This window comes from Homo sapiens, chromosome 8 (genome assembly GCF_000001405.40).
Source record: "Homo sapiens chromosome 8, GRCh38.p14 Primary Assembly".
In the NCBI taxonomy this organism is placed as follows: Eukaryota; Metazoa; Chordata; class Mammalia; order Primates; family Hominidae; genus Homo; species Homo sapiens.
The window spans coordinates 17159680-17182805 of record NC_000008.11 but is presented as its reverse complement, the minus strand read 5'-3'; the positions used below and the strand labels follow the sequence as shown (position 1 = coordinate 17182805).

The following is a 23126-nucleotide window of genomic DNA, read 5'->3' as shown; positions in this document are numbered from 1 at the left end:
TGGGCAACAGAGTGAGACTCTGTCTCAAAAACAACAACAAAAAAAAAGGTGTAGTTGGTACGAGTTGCTAATCTTTTTGACCTGGACCACTACTCTATAAGCCTGATATGCATTCAAAGACTTTGTTTTTAAAGCTATTATTATTATTATTATTATTGCCATTCACAGTTTGCTTTTCCCTAAATGTAATTCAAAATCCACAGATGTTCTATTTTTTTAAAAGTACACAACTTACACATAAATTCATCTTTATAGTAAATAATTGTGTAACATTTGTAGAATGAAAGGGATCAGTTCAAAAGGCTGTATCCAATTACACTTTCGCCAAGATTATGAGCCGGTTCAATTTCCTGTAAACGTAACTCTGTTTAATTTTTGTCGACATCATAGGCCTAAATAAAAATCATTATTTTAGCATTCATTTCCCTTATTATTAGTGCAGTTTGGCATTATTTTTAAAACACTATGATTGGGATTTCCTTTCTCTTCTATGTGAATGATTATTTTCCTATTGGCCTACTTAGTTACTGAGAGCCTTTTATATATTCTGGACAGAAATCTCATATCTGTTATATATATATTGCAAATAAAACTGCATATAGCTATTTTAAATGATTTAATAAGTACTAGCAACATTTTTATCACTTGCCACTGATTAAGTAACATTATCAAAGTTTGCAAATTAACTTATTTCATTAACAGATATATGGACTATGCAAGGTTTTGCTTTGTGATACTCAGGAAATGAATGTTCTTTCAACCATGGTTACTTAATTAGTAAATCAGTGATTTACCTTGTAATTTTCAGTTTAATGGCAGAGTTGTCAAGTTCAAAGTTTCCTTTCTCACAGAGTAAAAACACATAAAATACAAAGTTATTGTCAAATGCAAATATTTTTGTTCAAAAGTAACTGTTCAAGAAAAGATTGCTCAAATTTAGCCTCAAACACTTTTCTAATATTTATGTATATAAAGATAACATATGAAAAATAGAGACTCATTTTTGAAACAATATAGATGGTAATCAAATATAATTTGATTATTTATAACAATACAAAAACTAAATAGCAATACTGAACATAATTGGGACAGGTCTTCTAAAAATAACTATTGGTTTTAATGTGGATTTTGAGTTTTAATCCAGGATTATTTAATTTTCTTACTTCACAGACAGAATTTCAATTTGTTTGATTTAACAATGATGCTGATACCTATTCTTCAATTTTTACCATAGAGAAATTTCAAGTGTTGTATAGCCTTCTTTATCTCATTTCCTTTAAACCAGTTATTGAGATAAATTAATAGTTATTTCAATTTTTGTCAACAGAAAACTGAGGTTTACTCAGTTTTTACTAAAGCAAATGAGCTTTATTCTCAAAGTCACGACGAATAGCACATTAATTCTACCTTAGAAATTCTTTTATTTTCAATTTAAACATTTCCTGCCTGTAACAAAAACGTTACAACTTCCAGCTCTGCTGGATCATATTAAAATTAATTCCTCATTAAAGCACAAGAACTGGCATAGAGCATCTGCCCCATTAATGTTTACTGAGTAAGAGACTGACTTAGACAAACAGACCATGACAACTAATTTGAATCACATAAAACTGGTATATCAAAGCGGACATATGAGAAGTATTCATTTTTCTTTTGTGGGCATGAAAAACTCAAGAGAAAAGTTATTTCTATTACCATGTTAGCTTAGCACACCATAGCACTCAACTGATAGTTGAAAAAAGCGAAAGTAATCTCTTCTGTGAGGTGAAGAAAACACTTCTCTAAAGAGAGGAGAGAGGGAGAAGACAAAATGGTTCCTGTTCCTTTAAAAAGGAAAAAGCTGAGGGAGATACTGGCTTCAACTGGGCTTCAAGCAACTTTGAAGACAGACAGGGTCTATAAGTTCACAGGGTTCCCTCCACCCCCAGCTTGGTTTTGGTTCTTCCTTAGTATTGTACTTTTTTATAGTTGAATTTGTCAAAATGGAAAAGAGATTATTACTAAGCATAATAGCACCAAAGAGCAATGGCTGGGGATAAAGAAGGCAAGGTCCAATCCTGCCTCTGCCACTTGCTGGCTTACATAAGCTATCCCACTTATTCCACTACAAAATGAGGGTGATTGCTGCAGCAGTAGCATTAGGGCTGTAGCGAGAATTCAAAGGGACAATAAAACAATGTACTTAACACAGTGCCTTGTGTAGAGTAAGCCCCATGAATGTACAATTATAATATATCATCTTTCATCTTGATAATATTAACTGTAATGTATAACGTATAGGAAAGGGGGCTAAACAAGGAAGACAAATTACAAAGAGAAAAGTAATATTTGTACAGGCTCCTGAAAGAAATAAATGCAAAATGTTGAACAAAAATAGACTTGGCGAGTGAAAATAAAAGGTGAAAAATAATGTAAATCTGAATTATCTTATAAGTCAATTGCCTTTTTAAACGGATGTGTCATTTCAGAAACTTGTTTAAACCAAAAAAGTGGTCTTCATTCTTAACACAGAGTAATGATGAGATGTTAAAACTTCGATCTTGATGTGCCAGTTAGTCCTTTTGAGAACTTAAATGTGAAAGAATCTATTTTGGATAGGCACTGTTTAACTTAATGAATAAAAACAATTACTTTAAAAAAAAATAAAGACCTAAATCTTATAATCACCCCAAAGAAGTTAGGTGCAGTTTATTCCTGGGAATTAAAAGCATTGCTATTATTACACTAAAATATTTACCAATCCTACATCTGGTGGATGGCACCATTCATACCATCTAAATACACACAATAGGAACACTGTGAATCACAATTTTAATTTTAATTTCAAACACTTATTTGCCTCATTTTATCTTGGATTAGCCTAATTTCTTTTTGGTCCATGCCCTACAATGATAATATTTTGCTTTAGCAATTTCTAATCTTCCAATATACCTCCAGAACTTCAAGTTCCTCTGTGATTAATTGTGGGAACTGCAGCACTTTCTTGGCCCTGACGGTATATAGGAAGAGAGAAAGTGAAAAAGGTAAATTACTACTATAGTTACCAAGAATGTTCCTGTTTGCCAAAAGTAAAATTATGGCCTTCAGGAATCACATTTTGGGCTGGGCGGCCCACGCATGAAATGCCAGCACTTCGGGAGGCCAAAGTGGGAGGATCACTTAAGGCCAAGAGTTGGAGATCAGCCTGGACAACACATTGAGACTGTGTCTCTACAAATAAACTTTTTTTTTTAGCTGGGTGTGGTGGCACTGCCTGTGGTCCCAGCTACTTGGGAGACTGGGGGCAGGAGAACTGATTGAGCCCAGTAGTTCAAGGCTGCACTAAGCTATGATCACATCACTGTACTCCAGCCTGTGCGATAGAGTGAGACCCTGTTTCTTAAAACAAAAAGAAGAAGAAATAAAGAAAACAAAAAAAGAACTTCATCTTAAAATCTAGAACCATCATCGATGCTACAAAGCTTGTAGATTGGGTCACCAGTTGTATTATCTGGCTGCGCTTTACGCTCACCCCCTCCACCGCCACTGATCATTCCCGTAAGAAAGACAGGACAACCAGGCACAGTGGCTCAAACCTCTAATCCCAGCACTTTGGGAGGCCAAGGTGAGAGCATAGTTTTGAGGCCAGGAGTTTGAGATTGGCCCGGGCAACACAGTGAAACATCATCTCTACAAAAAAATTTAAAAATTAGCCAGGCATAGTGGTGCCCACCCATGGTTCCAGCTACTCGGGAGGCTGAGGTGGGAAGATCACTTGAGCACAGGAGGTCGAGGCTGCAGTGAGCTGTGATCCTGCTACTGCATTCAAGCCTGGGCAACAGAGCGTGACCCTGTCTCAAAAAAAAGAGAGAAAGAAACAGAGTAGGACAACATATAAAAAGGCTGAACTAATCAGTCCTCAGTTTAGAATTGGTAAGACTGATAAGAGTGACAGTTTTTTGTTATAACATTAATTGTTTTTTAAGAAATCCTTGTGTAAAAATAAAACAGGTAAAATTGAAGTTAAAGAGTGAGACTGTCAAAGTAATAACCCATAATATAGAAAAGGATGACAAACTGCTCCTTAATCCAACCTGGCTTGAATGAAACATCCTTTCAAATGTATACCTCCCTTATCTCTTTTGACTGAACTACCAAGCAATCATTTAATCCTAGAACCCTTGGTCCAAACACAGCTAGATGCCTGTTTCTATAAATAAAGTTTTATTGAAACATGTATGCATCCATTCACTTACATGGCTACTTATGTGCTACAATGACAGAGTTAGGTAGCTGAGACAGGGAAAGTATGGACTGCAAAGCCTAAAATATTTACTGTTTAGCCTTTTATGAAGAAAGTATTCCAGCCCTATGTATTAGTCAGGGTTCTCCACAGAAAAAGATTTAATAGGATGTGTGTGTATGTGTATATATAGATACTATATATTAATATAGTCTAGAATGATTTATATATATTAATTTAGTCTAGAATGATTTAAATTCAACCTTGATTAAAAGCAGGAGATCATCTCAACGGTTATTCCACTCGTACATTTTTTACCAATTGATTATTTAAAAATTGGCTTTGGTGATTATTATTAAAGTGTTACTGTCCTAAATGGTATCTAATGAGATACAGCAGCCTAGTAAACTGATGGTAACTTAAATCTAGTTGAACTTTTAGTCATAAATATATCCAAAATTCAAGCTTTCAGATACTTACATGGCTACTTGTGTGCTACTACACCTTCATAATAGACAAAAAATGAACTCCCCCTTTTGACTTAGCAAAGAACAGTAAAGTGTTTCTAAAACAATGTGATTTTGGGGTATTTTATTGCAAATGTATATTGCTGTGATTTTAACATTTATTTTCTTAATCTGAATTTTCTTTTTCTTGTCTTCAAATTCAATCTCTCTCCTTTGGAGGAATAATTTACCTTTATTGCTCATACACACTAACTTTTCAATATAAAACCACTATGCAATTTCCAGCCTAGCCTCAGACATCTGATAATGAAGAATACCGCCCCCCACCCCCACACACACAAACACACACACACACACACACACAAACACCCCAAAACAGAGACTTGGTCCTAATGGATGAATCTGAAGGATAACTTTATAGCCAAGCTCTACATTTTTTCTGTTTATCTTTAACTCATTTATTGAGAAACATTAATTGACTATACTGTGCTTACACTGTTGAGAACAAAATGGTAAATAAGACTCTACCTCTGTGCTGAAGCTTAGCATTTATGATATCATTTTAGTTAGAAGTAAAAACTAACTGAAAAAACAAGGATGTAGTTATGAAAACATTTTCAGTTAATTCACAGAAGTAGCTCACATTCAAAAGATTATGACAAAAATACTTTATGCTTTAATATCTTTACAATATGCTTTAACATCTCCTGTCCCAACAAAGTCTGTCCCCTGACTTCATGTCTCTAGCTGCCATCCCACTTTCTGGCCTTTTCACAGGAAAATTTAACAATCATCCAAAATCACTCTCTCTACCCCCAACCTCCTTTTACCTCCTCATCCAACTCCAATTGGTCTAATTCCCCAGCATTCCACTGCAATCACCCGTGTCAAGGTCACCAACACCCTCCCTAAGCTAATTTTCTGTACTCAAATTACTCTAACAGAATTAATTATGCTCTTCTTTTGGAAAAAGTCTGTCAAATTCATAGAGAATTCTTTGACAAAATTGGCCAGGGGAACCCCTTGAAGCCAAATCCTTTGTCCTTTTAGCTACTTTCCAAAAATCTCTGGTTCATTTTTAGTGTATTAGAGGTCAAAAGTGACACCCCTTCCAGACCTTATTTAATGACATGCAAGAAAAATATGTTATTCACGTTAACATTTTCAGTTTAATTGCAATGGTACCCTTTTCTTCCTAATACATTTTTGAATTTATTTTCTTTATAACCTATCTACTTATATATTTTTACATATTATATTTTTTATTATACTTTAAGTCAAACTGTTTCTTTTTTTTTCTTTGTTGTCCTTATATGTCATTGTGATTTTATTGATAACTCAAAACGCCTGCCTTTCTCTCCAAACTCACCTCACACGTCTTTCCTCTTGTGCATGATGCTTCTGTCACTCTGGGCTTTCTTGTGTCTTAACCAAGCTAACATTGTACCCTCCCTTGATCCTCTGCACTGGCAGTGAACTGGGTGGTAGGAGACCTGGACTCCAGCCCAATCCTCCCAATATGTGTGATCTTGATCACGGCACTCAGCTGAGCGGCGCTTTAATTTTACTGTTTAAACTAAAATTTGCACTTTATCTTGAAGGTTTCTCTGGCTATAAAATTATCTTAAATCCTACCGTGATGTATTCTCGGTGAAAAAATCTTGACTTTTGAAGACCTAAGGCAAAAGTCATTCTAACAACAAACTGATCAGTAAATAAGCAGGAACTGCTTTGTCAAGGACAGATAAGTAGCTTCAAAATAGAAGCAAAGGTTAGCAATAAGTCTTCGATGGTGCAAAACTTGAATTCCAAACACAGGGTTTTCAGTTTGTACTTTCTCAGTTAACATACAAGCCAGTCCTGATATTCCTAACAGTCTACTAACCACAAACACGGGGCAAGGCAATCGACTACCTCAATGGATCCCCACACAATTCCCTGAAAATTCATTTTGCAATAAGAAAACCATGATCTCATTTAAAATGCAATTCAGTGATATCATCTCACTAAGAACCCTCCCAAGGCTCTGCACTCAATTTACAGTAAAATAAAGTCCAATCTCCTCACTTCAGCCTCAGTGGTCAAGCATGATCTGGCTCTTCCTCTCTGTCCTCCAAGACCACTTCTGGTCACTAGTCCCTTTGCTCACTAAGCTGCAGCCACACTGAGCTCCTGTTTCAAAAACACACCAAACCTTAGCGTCTTTGCCCAGTCTGAAAAGCTCCACACCTGACTCCACGCTTGGCTCCTTCTTTCTCTTCCTTCAGGGTGCAGTTTAAATACCAGCTTTTCCTGTCTAGTCAGACACTATGGCAATACATTATTCGTCTCTTAGCATCTCACACAACCTGTATTTTCATTTACTTGTGTCTTTTCCATGACCCTCACTGAGGTTTGAATCCTGTGTGATGTTTTACGTTGAACAAGTTATTTAGATTCTCTGAACATTATCTCAATGTTTATCTCACCGAGCTCTTTTGAGAATTAAACTAGAAGGTAAAAGCACCTAGAATAGAATTTGGCGCATTATTAAGGTCTGTTCATCAAATATGGAGGATAAATTCATCACCAAACTGTGACATGTTAGGAGTAGGAGTTTCCTAAAGTTTAGTGCTAGCAGTTTATTAACAATCTAGGGGAAGAAGTGCATAGTGAATAATTAGCATGTAGTAACGCTAAAATTTTCTGCAGCGTGAAATGCCAAGTTGTTAGGAATAAACTGCTGGAAAGCCTTTTAAGCGTGAATAAGCAGAAAAATGCAAATAAATTACAATGTGGGTGAATTAGTAGAATGAGAAAAAAACTAAACCAGTAAATTTTTAAACTTTTGCCCTACGTCTCCCAGAGCTCCTTTCCTGTCAACCCCACCCACACCTGCAACCCACAACGCCCTGTCCAGATTCTAACAGGGCTTGGCATGCATTGGTCCTATGCCAACGCCCTATGGAGTCTGATGATTTCCCCAGCCTCTACCTCAGAACACATCTCTAAACAGCTATACTGAGCTAAACTATGCTAGAAATTATCAAAGAACGATGGAAAATGGCCCAGAAATTACTGGCAACCTTTTCCTGAAGAATAGCACAATGTGACTGGGTGCGGTGGCTCACATCTGTAATCCCAGCACTTTGGGAAGCTAAGGCAGCTGGATCGCTTGAGCCCAGGAGTTTGAGACCAGCCTTGGCAACATGGTAAAACTCTGTCTCTACTAAAACAAACAAACAAAAAAAACCCCACAATTAGCTGGGTGTGGTGGCGCACACCTGTGATGCCAGCTAGTCAGGAGGCTGAGGTGGGAGGATCCCTTGAGCCCAGGAGGCGGAGGCTGCAGTGAGCTGAGATAGTGCCACTGCACTCCAGCCTGGGCAACAAAGCCAGACTATGTCTCAAAAAAAAAAAAAAAAAAAAAAAGAATAACACAATATCAAACACAAAAATGAACAATACTAAGTTAAAGCATATAAACCAAGATATGGGAAGTCTCTTAAGGGTAGGTTATGACCCAAAAGATTTGCTTTCTGTGCTTTGGCCTCTAGATCAGCCATCAAAAGCTTCTGCATAACACTATTAACAATATAACAAAAACTAGTGACTGTGTGTTAAGGGAAGCCTACTGAGTGCAACATCCAAACATATCTCCCTTCCAGCACAGTAGACTCGAGGCTGCCCTGATTTTCCTCCCTTACCTGCTGGGCTATGAGATCAGGTGTTCATCGCATTCCAAGTCTTCGTGATAATACCTGTATTTGCTACAGCTGTCATAACAAAGTATCACAGACTATGGGCCTTAAATAGAAATCTATGTTCTCACATTTCTGGACTCTAGAAGATGGAGATAAAAAATTTTTTTTAAATTATAAATTAGCAGGGCATCGTGGCATGCACCTGTGGTCCCAGCTACTCAGCAGGCTGAGTCAGAAAGATTGATTAAATCTGGGTGGTCGAGGCAGCACGAGCTGTGATTACGCCACTGTATTCCAGATTGGGAGACAGAGCAAGACCTTGTTAAAAAAAAAAAAAGAAGAAGAAGAAGAAAAAGAATAGAGCACAAATTGAGGTGCCGGCAGGGTTGGTCTCTTCCTAGGTCTCTCTCCTTTGCTTGCAGCGACCACCTACTCTCTGTACGTTCACATCATTTTCCCTCGATGCCTCTCTGTATCCAAATTTCTTCTTTTAAGGACAGCAAGTCACGTTGGATAAGGGATTACTCTGGTGACTTCGTTTTAACTTAATTATTTCTTTAAAGACCCTTTCTCCAAATAAATTCTGAAGTCCTGGAGTTCAGGACTTTCACCTAAGAATTTTGGAGGCACAGAATATAGCTTGCAGCATCCTCCAAAATCAGACTGCAGCTTTACAGGAGCATTTGTTGAATGCTCTCTATGCCAGGGATTTGTGCTCAATTCTTTTTCTTTCTTTCTTTCTTTTTTTTTTTAAGACAGGGTCTTTTTCCGTCTCTCAAGCTGGAATGCAGTGGTGCAATCACGGCTCATGCTGCCTCGACCACCCAGATTTAATCAATCTTTCCGCCTCAGCCTCCTGAGTAGCTGGGACCACAGATGCGTGCCACCATGCCCTCCTAATTTATAATTTTATTTTTTTTTGTAGCGATAGCATCTCCCTTTGTTGTCCAGGCTGTTCTTGAACTCCTGGGCTCAAATGATTCTCCCACCTCAGCCTCCCAAAGTGCTGGGATGACAGGCATGAGCCACCGCACCCGGCCTTGTGCTCAATTCTTTGAATGTTGATCTCATTTAAACCTTACAACAATCTGTGAGGTTGGTATTATTATCATTTCAAATGCTGAGAAGACAGTCTCACAGAGGTATAACTTCTAACGTCATCCAAGTCATGATGGGATCTACATATAGGCCTGTTTGGCCCCAAAACTCATACAAGGATTCTGTGTGGCCTGCCAGGATCTGTGACATCGGATGCCTCGCAGCCACTGGGCTGCTTTGTCCTGGGCAGCCGTTCTCTTCCTTGCTTTCTCTCAGTTCTTGGTCTGTGCTTGATACTCTTGCCACTCCCTGTTACTTCTGATCTGGGTCACTCTAGAAAGTAGGGTTTAAAATGTCCTCTTCTGGTCACCCTTGCTCCACCAACCAACTTAAAACCTCTGCAAACATAATTTTACAAACTTTGGATACAAAAAATTCAAATATTTGGCCATATTTCAGGGCACTACCTGAATATGGACTTTCCTAACCATCCCACTTCAAGAATTTGGGGAGGAACCGGGCTCTGGGTTCCTAGAGCAACAGTAAAATGGTGATACTAGAAAGAGTAAGAGATGGGATAGGCTTCCTGACCTCCATCCAAAGCAGAAGAAAGGAGGAACGATAATTACTCCAATTTGTACTACACAGGCACACTCCTAAAACACATTTCTCACATGCAGACACTGACATTAAGAGAGACAGAATATGGATCTCTCCTGGTTGGTAGCTCTTAATCCTTACGTTTATAAAAGTCTCCAGGTTATAAGTGTTACTCAGCATTTCTTTATTATTATAATTTACTGCATTAAGAAGACTTGAGATCTACTCTCTGAAATAACTGTAAGTGCATAATACCGTATGGTTGAGTATAGGCACGTGGATGTAGAGCCGATCTCTAGAACTCATTCATCTAACGTACCTGAAACTTTGTACCCACTAAACTGCAGCCCACTCCCCATCTCCTTCTCCCTTCAGCCCCTGGCAACCACCAAACGGTCTCTCTTTCCTTTAGCTGACTATTGTAGATACCTCTGTTGTGCTTGAGCGAGTTAGAGAAAACGCCACACTTTGAGACGAATTAAAAGTCCGTATATTTAGCCGGCGGCCAAGAGAGAGCTAACGCTCAGTTCTCTCGGCCCTGAAAAAGGGGCTAGATTTTCTTTTATACTTTGGTTTAGAAAGGGGAGGCAGGGTCTAGTTAAAACAATTTTACAGAAGTAAAGTAGGCAAAAAAGTTAAAAGGATAAATGGATACAGGAAAGTAAACAGTTCCAGGTGCAGGGGCTTTAAGACTATTAACAAGGTGATAGACGCGGGGCTTTGGGCTTTATCAATCGGACGAATTCCTGGGAACTGCGGATATAGTTCGCCACAGTAGCTGATCAGTTAATTGCATTCTTGGATGTGCTGGGAGTCAGCTTGCACAAGTTAAGTCCTTGAGGAAGGGGCTGCCAGTGAAAGAACCAAGATGGAGTCTGTCTGGCTCTCTTAGCCAAAGGAGAGTCAACTCAGGTGCAAACAAGGCTAGGTGATTAAAGGAAAGGGAGAGTCTAAAAACAGGGTTAGTAAAAACAAGGTTGGGCATTACACCTCATACAAGCAGAAGAAGGCAGTATCTGTCCTTCTGTGACTGGCTTTTTCTCATGTAGCCCAATGTCTTCCAGGTTCATCCATGTTGTCACACGTGGCGGAATTCAACATCATTTCTGTAGCAATTTGATGACCAAATCATTGCTCTAAATAGCTAAGCAGCTCTACTCGACAGAAACAGATGGTGTAAAATCTAACTTATCTAATTGAAGGCTGGGTAAACATTCACGGAATGTTTGTATTTAAATCATTAGGAATGTGTCGGTCTTTCAATCTATCAGTTCTGAAAAAGGAATAAAGACGTCACCTCATAATGATGGCCATGAAAAACTCACTGCCACTTTCATCTTGGCAAAGGGAAGGACCATTTCTGAATCACTGACTGCACTAAGCAATGTAGATAAATAAGGAAATCTGATCTCAGGGCTGGCCCCCTGATCTTAGTGTCCTCATTTCAAAGCTTACTCAATGGAATCCTATAATCCCTGTCTCAAATTAAAATAGAAGAGGCTCCTAGTGCCAGCAAGTTGTGCAGATTTGAGGGCAGCTGTAAGTTTACTTCTCCTGTTTAGATAGAGTTGTATGGGTGTTTCCTTTTCTACACATGGCTACAACTCAACTCCAAGTTCCTACAACCACTGAATTGTTTCAGCCCCACCCCCCTCCTTTCCAATTCCAGATTCCCTTCTTGAGGAAAGACCACAGAGGCCATGACTGACTCAGTAGAACCATGTAAGTCTATGGTGGATACTACACCCTCAACAACGATCTGCCTGCTTTCCACATAATGGCTATTTACCACCCAGGGGAATGTCAACTAGGGATTTATGTCCTGAAATACTCCCCTTATTAGTCAGAACCAAAATTTTAGAATTGGAAGTGCCTCAATGATTATTTTGCCCAATGTAACACTCAACTTTCTTATATATGTGTGGATGTATTTATTTATTGGTAGCATGCAAAACGTCCCACATGTATATTGGTTATTTCATCATTTAAAAAATATATACAATCAAGTTGAAACAATTTTTGTAGAGTATTTTTTAATGTCCTTACATCAGTTTCTTATTATCTGGTATACTCAGAATTATCATAAAGGACAATGCTGAGAGTTCCTTATTTTTCATGACCAAACGTTATTAGCTGTTTGATTTATTAAGGAGAAAAACCAATGCATCTTTTCTGCATCTCCAAGGAAACAGGCAACGTTCTAAAACCATCTAGCAGGGTTAGCAGCTATATGTTGAGTACTATATGACCAGAGTACAGGCACACGTAACACATTTAAAAATTAATCCAATTATTTCTAGGTTCATAAAATTATTTGACACTTATGAGTACTTTACAACTCTCCAGAGAAAGAAACTATATAAGGATGTAATTCCTACATTTGTGTTTATGAGCTCATTGGAATAAAATTTACAGTGGCACACCGGAAGAGATGAAATCAAATATTTAAACCAACACTAGCACCAGCAGTAATTGCTGCACGATAGCACTGGGTCACAATATCTATTAAAACATTCGAGAGTATCCAGCTATTCACTAGCTCACCCTTCAGTATTGGGTCACTGAGAAGCACTATTTTCTTCTGTAACTTCACTGTCATATATTCATAAAGTAAACATACACAATCTTTCTTGATCCCAGCTGGAATTATACAATGCCTTTCTCTTCTTACTTGCAGCAAATCATACTCTCGCCCAACACTGCATTCACCTACAGCACTAGCCCAATCTCTCTGACAGCAATTGCTGAAACAGTATGTGTATTCAGTCACAACCAAAATAAATCTGACATTGTCATTATCTGGCCACCCACAGTTGAAAGATTTCCATGACTACTGCCTAAAGACACAACATATTGTAATAGTGTAATATTATACAAGTACCACCTGTTTATATACTAGATGTATTCATTAATGTAAGTGAGAAGTTCTAAAAAAAAATTATGCAAGGAATTGAAGAATCCAGTCATCAATATTTGGAATGAGTCTCTTCCTCTGCTCCATGTGTAAACTGCATCTCAGGTTTCCCGCCTGTATCTCTCCCCTCATTTTATGTATGGATTTATGCTTTCTCTTACTAAAATCATTTCACTTACTCTGGATCTTTGGGCAAAACAGAAACCTTGCTCTTCATTTATAAATCATGTTCAGTCCCTGTGCTGCGGATCAGAATCGAGTTCATGATTGACACCATGCACTCACATGTATTCACGATGCATTCACGGCATACTTCCCCTCCTTCCCACCCACTCCTCTTTATCAGTTTGCGTACCATTTCCATCTGCTAATATGTTCTTTCAAGATTTAATTTCCATCTGTCATTTCTGTGCTCTGGACTCTGGCTACTCAAAAACTGTTGTTGAATTCCTGCCTATATGCAGTAAGCTAGAGGCCCTCGAGTTTTCTGCCCTGGGCATGCCCGATGACCAGCACTCTCATAAGGAACACACTACCCAGTAATGAAGGCCACCATATGGGCAACATGGGATTCTTCACAATCCCCTGCCCATCAGCTTTTCTGCTGAACCATGAAATGGCAAGATGGTAAAAAAAAAAAAAAAAAAAATTGCTGCAGTGACACTGATACATCTCATGGATACCTCTAGAGACCTTCAAATTTGGACATGTTTACAAGGGCATATACAGGCTTCTCTGGGTGACACCTGCATCAAAAATCACCTGCTCCAGAAAAACCGTATGGTGTCCTCAAAAAATTAAACACAGAATTACCATATGACTGACCAATTCCACTCTTAGGTATCTACCAAAAGAATTTAAAGCAGGGACTCAAACAGGTATTTCTGTATACTGTTCACAGCAGCATTATTCAGAATAGCCAAAAAGGTAGAAACAACTCAAACCCCCATTAATGGATAAACAATATCTGATATATACATGCCACGAAATATTATTCAGCCTTTGAAAAAATGAAATTCTGACACATACTACAACACAGGTGAACTTTGAAAAAATGAAATTCTGACACATGCTACAACACAGGTGAACTCTGAAGATATTACATAAGTGAAATAAACTAGATTCAAAAGGACAAATATTGTATGATTCCACTCATAGGAGCTACCTGGACAGTTGGACTCACGGAGGCAGAAAGTAGAATGGTGGCTGCCAGAGGGTGGGGGAGGGAAGAATGAGGGTTAGTGTTAAACTGCACAGCGAAGCAGTTTGGGAAGATGACAAAGTTGGAAAATGGACAGTAGTGATGATCGCACAGCATTTTGAATGTACTTAATGACACTAATCTGTATACTTAAAAATGGTTAAAATGGAAAATTTTTATGTTATCAATATTTTACCACAATAAAAAATAAAAAAAAATCTGCTCTAGGGCTTATTCTCAAACCACAAATTAAGTTAAAAATCAACATTAGCTAAAGTTTTCTCACCTCTGGTCACTTCCATGGTTAAAAGTTTTCACTGTTGTTTAACATCTCATAAAAGTAACCCCAGAAGTGATAAGCAGAGAAAAACAAAGCTTTGTTGAGCTGTGTATGCCTAGCTAGGCATTTCCGCATGCTAAGCGGCTCATTCACAAGTTTCCCCAGATTCTCAGTGCTTGAGATTCAAAAGAATGCCGAGCCAAAATTCCGGTCTTCCTTGACCTTTTTCAGTCAATAGGAAATAGATGAAAGAGAATGTAAAATCCTCAAACTCCAAGGGTCTTGGAGAGTAGCTTGATACATGTATCTATCTCGGATTTACTGCCTTAAATCAGAGCTAAATTATATTCAGTATACTCTAAGAAGGCTGGGACAAGGAAAAAGAAGATTGAAACACATGTTAGAAGGTCTTTTTAAATCTAAAAAGGGTAACAATTTTAGCACATTAAGGGCGGGTGGGGGTTAATTATCTGAAACCTACTAAAACGGACTACAGTTATCTCTAGGCAATGCTGTTGGAGTGTTTCCTGCAAATGCATTTCACTCATTTTTTTGTGATTATTTTATAAGTATACTGGGGCAAAAATTTTACATTCTAAATTGTTCTTATTTATTATTTTTATTATAGATATATGAGGATATTACTTACTCTATTACACATATAATTTATCTTTTAAATTTTCAAGTGAGTTCTACAATTAACTTTATCATCTAAATTCTCATTACAGATAGCATTTTAATGTCCAGAAAGAAAAAAAGGTTTTTTATTGTTATATGTGAAACCATAAAAATATTACCAGCTTGTGGCCGGGCGTGGTGGCTCACGCCTATAATCCCAGCACTTTGGGAGGCCGAATCACCTGAGGTCAGGAGTTCAAGACCAGCCTGGCCAACATGCGGAAACCCCGTCTCTACAAAAATGGAAAAATTAGCCCGGCATGATGGCAGGTGCCTGTAATCCCAGCTACTCGAGAGGCTGAGGCGGGAGAATTACTTGAACTCGGGAGGCAGAGGTTGCAGTGAGCCAATATTGCACCATCGCACTTCAGCCTGGCTGACAGAGCGAGACTGTCTCAAAAAAAAAAAAAAAAAAAAAGTTAAAAAAAAAAGTATTACCAGCTTGTTTATAAACATCTGGATGATCAAACTGTAAAAAGCCAAAATAGATGATCCCCTCATGTAGGATTCAACATTCTTTGTTGCTTGAGATGTCCACCCTGCTCAGAGGGCTCAAACTGAACAAGTTTAGCTGGCACTCATCTTTTGATTCATCCAAGAAACATATGTCCCAAATGTTAGTACGTGTTAACCTCTGTGTTAGATACCAGGGCTATAAGAGTGCATAAACCAGACATGGTTACCGCTCACGAAATTTTCTGTAGATTATTTTCAGATAATAAGAAAAGTTAAGCTTGCCTAACAGGGTAAAGCCTTTTTAACTTGGATTGAATTAATTCAGATATCCCAGCAACTCGTACACTGGTATACGAGATTCTTTTTGGTAACCTTGTAAATTACATTGAAAGTCATCAGAGTCAGTAATAAGTTCAAAACAAGGGTTCAATGTGCACATTGTTAAATTCTCAGTCCTCCCAGACTTGATGGGCCAGTACATGTGGCAATGTTGATTCCTCCCTCCTCCTTGACACCCTTTCCTCCCCAGGTTTCAGGACACCACACTCTCTCAGTTTTCCTCCCCTTCATTGGGCGCTCCTTCTCAGTCTTCTTTGCTGGTTCCTACTCATCTCCTGAACTCTCAATGTTGGTCATCTTTGGTCCATTTCTCTGCTCATTTACATTCTCACATGTGGTAGAACAAATGTATCCAGTGCCAAGTCTTTAAATCCACTTATATGCTGAAGACTCCCGAATTTATTCCCACATTCTACACCTCTCTCCCAAATGCCAACTTCATGTGTGCAACTGCTTACTCAGCATCTCTATTTCATGACAGCACACCCATTCCAGATCTAATGCAACCCTCCACGCCACCTAACTGATGCCTTCTGCATCTCAACTGATCATCCTTTCGGTTGTATGAGTCAAAAACAATGGAATCATTTTTGACTCCTTTCTTTCTTACACAACTCAAATCTGTCTGTGAGTTCTGCTGTCGCTACTGTAAAAATACGTCCAGAATCTGACCACCTCTCACCATTTCCAGTGCCCACGCCACGGTTTCACACACCATCATCGCTCACCTGGATTGATGCAGTAGCCTAGGTCCACAGCGGCCAGAAAGATCTTTTCAAATCTAAGTCGCAGTGCATCACCTCTGGACTCAACACCCTGCAGTGGATTCTCATGTCACCCCAAGTAAAACCGAAGTCCTCACAGTGGCCTCTGGCCTGAGGCCCTCCATGATCTCTGCTTTCTCCCCACATCTCTGACCTGTCACCTACTTCCCTTTCCCTTGCTCACTACACTTCAGCCAAAATGACCTCCTTGCTCTTCCTCACACATGCTGGGCTGACCCCTGCCTCTGTGCTTGTAAATCAAACTCCCCTGGCCGGAGATATATTTCTCCACAATACCCGCATGGTTAAATGTTTCAGCTCCTTCAGTTCTCTGCTTAAATTTCATGAGTTCTTCTCCTTCTCTGGCTACTGTATTTAAAATCGAAACCTTCCTCTGGCATTCTCAGTCCTTCTTGCCCTACTTTTTGCTTTGTGTCATGCCACTGATGATCCTCTAACAAACTGTCTAATGTACTTATGTTTTTTATTTCATTTTCCTTCCCCCAATTAGAAATGTAAGCTCCAACATCTGTCAATAGATATTTTTTGAACGAATAAATTAAAAGGGTGTCCAATGAATTATGGACGGTTAAAATGCATTCAGTTCTTGGATTTGTAAAAGGGCAAGTTTATGGGAGGCTATGGTGAATCACTACCCTTCCCCCTCCTTTGAATGACATACAGTTCTTTGTTTGGTATATCTTAATTTTCAGCAGGTATTAGTCCTGGAGTAAGTTGCATTTCATTAAAATATGCTACAATTAAGACCTTGATTAAGTCAAACTGGTCCCTGCCCTTTATCTTTTCCCATTCACTGACCTCTCTGAAGATGCCCTGGCTAATCACTAGTCATAGTTAAGTACATAAATCCCTGACTGCCTTTATTCCTAAAACAGGTCACATGGAGTTGCCCACTTAGTAGTAAACTTGATCACAAGTTAGCCCCTGGAATTTGGAGCAAGCTTATGACTTTCAGTGTGAGACTCATAATTGAAATCTTTTTCATGCTCGCAGTTGGCCTCAGGTGTCTCTCATTACAGCTCCAGCTCAGCTGTTCTGGAGTGGACTGTCTTTCCTACCAAAATACTTCCAACGTGCTATGTACATTACAAACACAATTCCAAATCACACCATTCCTCACATCCCTACAAATCTGGTGAAAACCCATACCTTGATTCAGCTCTTTGAGAGGACTCATGGGATCCAAAGGGATGAGGGACACAGTTCAGTCTGAATTTTAAGTCACCTTACTCCATGTACTCACCCTTACTCCATGTCACATACCCTTCAAATATGATGAAAATCCATTCACATAATGCAGTAAACACAGAGACAGAATTTAATTTTATCTGTACATAAGAAAATAGGTAATCATGACAAAGCCATTCTGGTTTCCCAAATTTCACTGAATTATAATCACATACAATTTTTGAAACAATATGAACTTATTTTTATAAGGATTATATCTTTTATAACATGATCATGAAGATAGACAACTACCTAGAAACTATTTTATTATTTGGATGTTTTGTTTCAAAAGAATTAGAGAAAAAGGTTTTTTTTTTTTATTGTTTAGTGTATATTTTGCTGATGAACTCCTCTGCACCACTCTGTTCCTCTGGGGTGGCAATGCTAGTGAATAAAAGGTCTAATTAATTTAAGTATGACAGGAATGCTTAATTGTATACTTCACATGAGGAGAAACTTCAGGATACCAGGAAGAAATACTGGCAAAGAAATAAAACCCAGCCATCCATAAACGCACTTACTCATTTGCATTTTAAAAATGTAATCCAATCAATAACATACCTAAAATGAACTACCATTAAGTATGCACTTCAGAGTGAAGTGCTAAGACGAGAAATGCAGCATATAATTTTGCTTGTGAGTATCTCTCAAATAAAAATGGATTTTATAACACTTCAGGCAATTAATATTTATAACTGAATTTAAAAGTCATGGCCAGATAAAAAGTCAAATTAGGAAAAATGCTACATAAATGATATAAAGTGTGATATTATCATTTTGAAAGGAAAATTCTCAAGCAATCATGTCTGGTTTCTTTACAGCTATCCTATTCTTCTTAAGAAATCAGAGCATCCTACCCAGCGCCTCCTCCTCCTACCCCCTGCCTTGATAATTTCGCCCTTTTCACTACTGCCATTTGATTGAAACAACAATCAAGACAATTATAATAAAATTCCCTTAAAGGAATTAGGAAAAAATTTTCAACAATTTTCTAATGGACTATTAAAAACCTCATTCAATTATTTTATGCTTTCATTATAAATTCTCTGTAGTATTTCTAAATGGTAATATGTAATAACAGAATTCCACATAATATTAAAACTGTCTTTCTAATCATCTTTAGAATATTGTTTTCCCAACAGACAGCATTAAGAATCTATGCCATATTCTAATCTGTCATTCTGCAAGACAGACAAGACAGAATTTCTACACTCATCATAAGCAGTGCTGGAATCTCAGGGGACCCATGAATACACCACTTCCTGGAGAAGAGAAGGCTGGGTGATATGATACAACTGTCAAAACGCAGTGGCATAAATCAGCAGTATAAATTATGAAATGTAAGTATAGCTCTATTTTTCTGAGAAGGAAAATCACAAATTCTCCATCAAGATAAAACATAAAAACAAATGAAACAAAAAAATCAATGAGGACCATTTCATGGAGAACCCCTCGCCCCCATATATACTCATCTATGGGATACATTTGTCTTTTTTCCCCGCTAGCACACTTCTCACCATGGTAACGAAAAAAGATCAAACACCTGAGCTCGCTGGACCATGCAGCCTGAGATGTGGGCGCAACCACCTCAGCCCTGCCAGCTGGACACTGCCCAGGCTGGAACACTGGACCCGCTGTTACCAGGCTGGGGGAGCAGTGGTGGTTCCAGTGTTCTGTGGTGACCGGCTGCCAGGCAGCAGCTCTTTCCAAAGGCTGTTCCTCAGGTGCAACGTCAGCTCCGCTTCACTCGCCTGCCCTTCGTTTCTGTCCATTTCTAAGCTAAGCTCTCCAGGCTCGCCGTGGATTCAGAGAGTTGCATTCATGCCCAGTTTCACCCACAAGGTCACAGGCCCTGGACAGAGTAAAAGTGGCCCGAGCATCGGGTAAGAAGTGAGGGAGCTAAAACAACCTCTTACTTCATAGCAGAGGCAAACACTGCTGCTTAAAATCTTACTCTGAGACTATGTCAACCACTAAATATATGTGGTAAGATCTGTAACGTGACTTAAAACTCATTTCTACTTACGTGCTCCCCAAAAGCTCTTTTTACCTGCCTCATTGTTTATCCTTTTCCATTGGCCAGGAAGCCAACTCACATGTCTAGGAGTGAGACGTTTTGCTTTCCATTTCTGCTTTCCTACCACTCTGCTGTGGAAATGGCATCCGGAAAGGTGGCAACTCCTTTCCTCATGCTCAAGCCAGCTAGAAAGCTTTGGTTTTGGGTTTTTTCCCAGAGGCTGTTTTTTTTCTTGGCTACTAGGAAAAGATCTCTATGAAGTTATCTTGTAAATCATTTCTGTGGCGGGAAATGCCTGGCAAGTAAATGCTTTTGAACGAACCCTACTCAAGCCCTCAAGAAGCTGCCTTCTTTCTAACCTCATGGAAACACACCTTCTCTAGAGACAATTAATTATCTTGAATAAAGAAACCATCCCGTCAGCTTCTGTTTAATTACTGGAAACATTCCTGCAAGTACCAATTTAATGGCATGGATGACATTCTCAGTAAGCAATTGCAAGCGAACTTTTCCATAATAAGCCTCAGTTTAAACTGAGGTTTGACCCCAGATCCTGTCCTCTCACTTATTTGCATTATACAATTGAATAAGACTAAGTAGAAACTATGAGATTAATTCATTCAACATTTATTGCGCATTTGTACATGCTAAGACTGTGCTAATTGCCTTAAATGTTTTTCTCTAATAGGGTTTAATAGCAAATAGTAATGCTGCATTGTCCAGTACATCAAAAGAAAAGGAAGTCTCTGACACACTAAATGGAACCAAAAAAGCATTAAGCAGAGTCCTTTCTCTTACTCCCCTTTCCGACTTGACCATTTATATTAAAGTAAAATGGGAGCACGGATCAAGAGTTTGGAACATATCATGTTTTATACATTTGAATTTTTGATTTGAAGAAATGTTGAGTTTTTATTACCCTATTCACATAAATTCAAATCTTTAAAATATTCAACAATATCAAGAAAAGTCACAGAATATATTTTGAATCATATTGCCAACAACTAATAATTTCTTTTTTTTATTTTTTATTTTTTTGAGACAGGGTCTCGCTCTGTCACCCCAGGCTGAAGTGCAGTGGTGTGATCTCGGCTCACTGCAGCCTCTGCCTCCCCGGTTCAGGCAATTTCTTCTGCCTTAGCCTCCCGAGCAGCTGTGACTACAGGCACGCACCACCACACCTGGCTAATATTTGTATTTTTTGGTAGAGACAGGGTTCCACTATGTTGGCCAGGCTGGTCTCAAACTCCTGACCTCAAGTGATCCTCCCACCTTGGCCTCCCAAAGTGCTGGGATTACAAGGGTGAGCCACCGTGCTGGCCAATAAGTAATCATTTCTAAGGTGACGTAGGCGTTAAATGTTTTGCATACATCAGTTTTCTATGGATGTGCCTTACATTCCACTTAAAACTATTTTAATATTTAAAACAGTTGGCAAAACCAACTAATGGCAAAAACTGCAATTACTTTTGCATCAACTTAATAGAACATCTGTATTCCCAAGATCTACTGCCTGTTCTTTTTTTGTGAAAAATGCTTTATTGTCCTACACAGTTTTTAAAGTAATAGTTTAAGTATCAGGAATATCAAGATATTAATAATATAAAGCAACAGTTTAAAATCAATAACAAGAAAACATTTCTTCTTCTGTGTAGCTCAAATTCATTTCATGGTGGAAAACAACTGACAGCCCCAGCAGTCTCTATCCTTGAGCCTGCAGTGGCCTTCAATGAATGGTAGGTCATAACTTCACAGAATCCAAGTAGGAGGCTTTGTGTATTTTGTTCTTAGGGATGTTTGTTTTCTTGTTTGTTTAAAAGAATGAAAACATGGCAGCGTATCTCTCAAACTGATCCCTAAGTATTATAATCACTGTGGAATATAACAGGCTGCAATCACTGCTGAAGGATGTTTAGTAATAAAGACAGCAAAACTGCGAGTAAAACCTCAAGATTCTAGTGGTCTAGCTTCCCACATACTCCAAAGCTCAGCAAACTTTTGCCCAAGGGCCAAGATTGGCCAAATATTTTTGTTGAATAAAAGCCACGCCCATTTGTTAAAGTATCTTCTATGGCCGCTCTCTAAGATAGCAGAGTTGAGTGGTTGGAACAGAGATCACACGGCTTGCAAAGCCAAAAATATGTACTATATAGCCCCAAACTACAAAGCCCTTTAAATCTCTAAAATTGTGTAAAGACTGTTGGCTTATTTTCAGAGCTCTGTCAACTCTCTGTAAACGATAATAAAGTTAAAAAGAGTTGCTGCATAACTTCAATGGGCTAAGATATTTGGAGAGGGGTTTGCTGGGAAAAGGAGACATCTGGACATCTGCATTACAGCAGCTAAGGTCATAGCTGACACCTCCGCTAGGTAACTCGGAGGAAGGACATTGAACTTGTGGCAACTCTGGAATTTAGTTTAACTCTTTCGTTTAAAAATACAGAAGGGGTTAGCCTGGATGACCTTTAAGCTTTTGAAAATTCATGATCGTTTAAAATGACGTAACTAAAACCGTAAGCAAATTCAGAACTACATGACTGCGCAACATCATCATAAACGTCCCATAGCACCTGCCTAAGGAGCAGGAAAGTAATATATTTAAGAAAAATGGGAACTGAACTGGTTACACAAGTGTATGTGGAAGTTTCTTGTACTATTGAAACTTTTCAGTAAATCTGAAATAAAGAAAACGGTATGAAATAGTTAAAACAATTTAAATGTTAGCACTTAAAAGGGGAAACTTCAGTGAACCTTCTTCAACAAGCGAAGTTAACACAGCAGCAGCCATAAGGGATCTGTAAAACATAAACCACGTCGTGTGCTCGCTGAATGGAGCATGCCTGAGGCTGCAGACCTCCCTCATTCCCTCTCATAGTGCATCCTAAAGTTCCCCGTACAAATGTTACCTTTGAGTTTATCTTACTTGACGGAAACCAACCTAATATCTAAAGAGAGCAAAGAGAGTTAAAACACAAAAGAAGCCAGGAGTGGAGAGAGGGACAGGAGGGACAGGGGAGAGGGAAAAGGAGTGGTAAGAGAAGGAAAGGATGGAGGGGGAGGAATACAAATAGAAGAGCCTCGTTAATCAACAAACGAGATAAACGTGGTCCAAATGATTAGAAGTATAACTGTCTTTTGTGATCTTTTCTTTGGCAGAATAGGAAGCTGACTTAACCAAAAATACTTGACTCTCACACAATATATGTACATCCCATATAT

General features: G+C 38.6%; 1 protein-coding gene and 1 long non-coding RNA gene across 9 annotated transcripts in view; both read right to left on the bottom strand.

Moving 5' to 3' along the window:
- Positions 1 to 23126, bottom strand: part of ZDHHC2 (zDHHC palmitoyltransferase 2) — a 68318-nt gene that overhangs the window by 41994 nt on the left and 3198 nt on the right. The window contains exon 1 of one of the 8 annotated variants that reach the window (XM_024447177.2): positions 795 to 810. The exons of the other annotated variants lie outside the window; for them this stretch is intronic. The gene's annotated coding sequence lies outside the window, so the exon portion shown is untranslated. Of the gene's footprint in view, positions 1 to 794; positions 811 to 23126 lie in introns of those variants that run through there. 8 annotated transcript variants of the gene reach the window in all.
- On the bottom strand, positions 17959 to 20030 carry LOC107986918 (uncharacterized). The gene is made up of 2 exons (XR_001745818.3): positions 19941 to 20030; positions 17959 to 19742 (listed from the first exon to the last, which is right to left on the bottom strand). It is a non-coding gene; the product is annotated as an uncharacterized LOC107986918 (long non-coding RNA).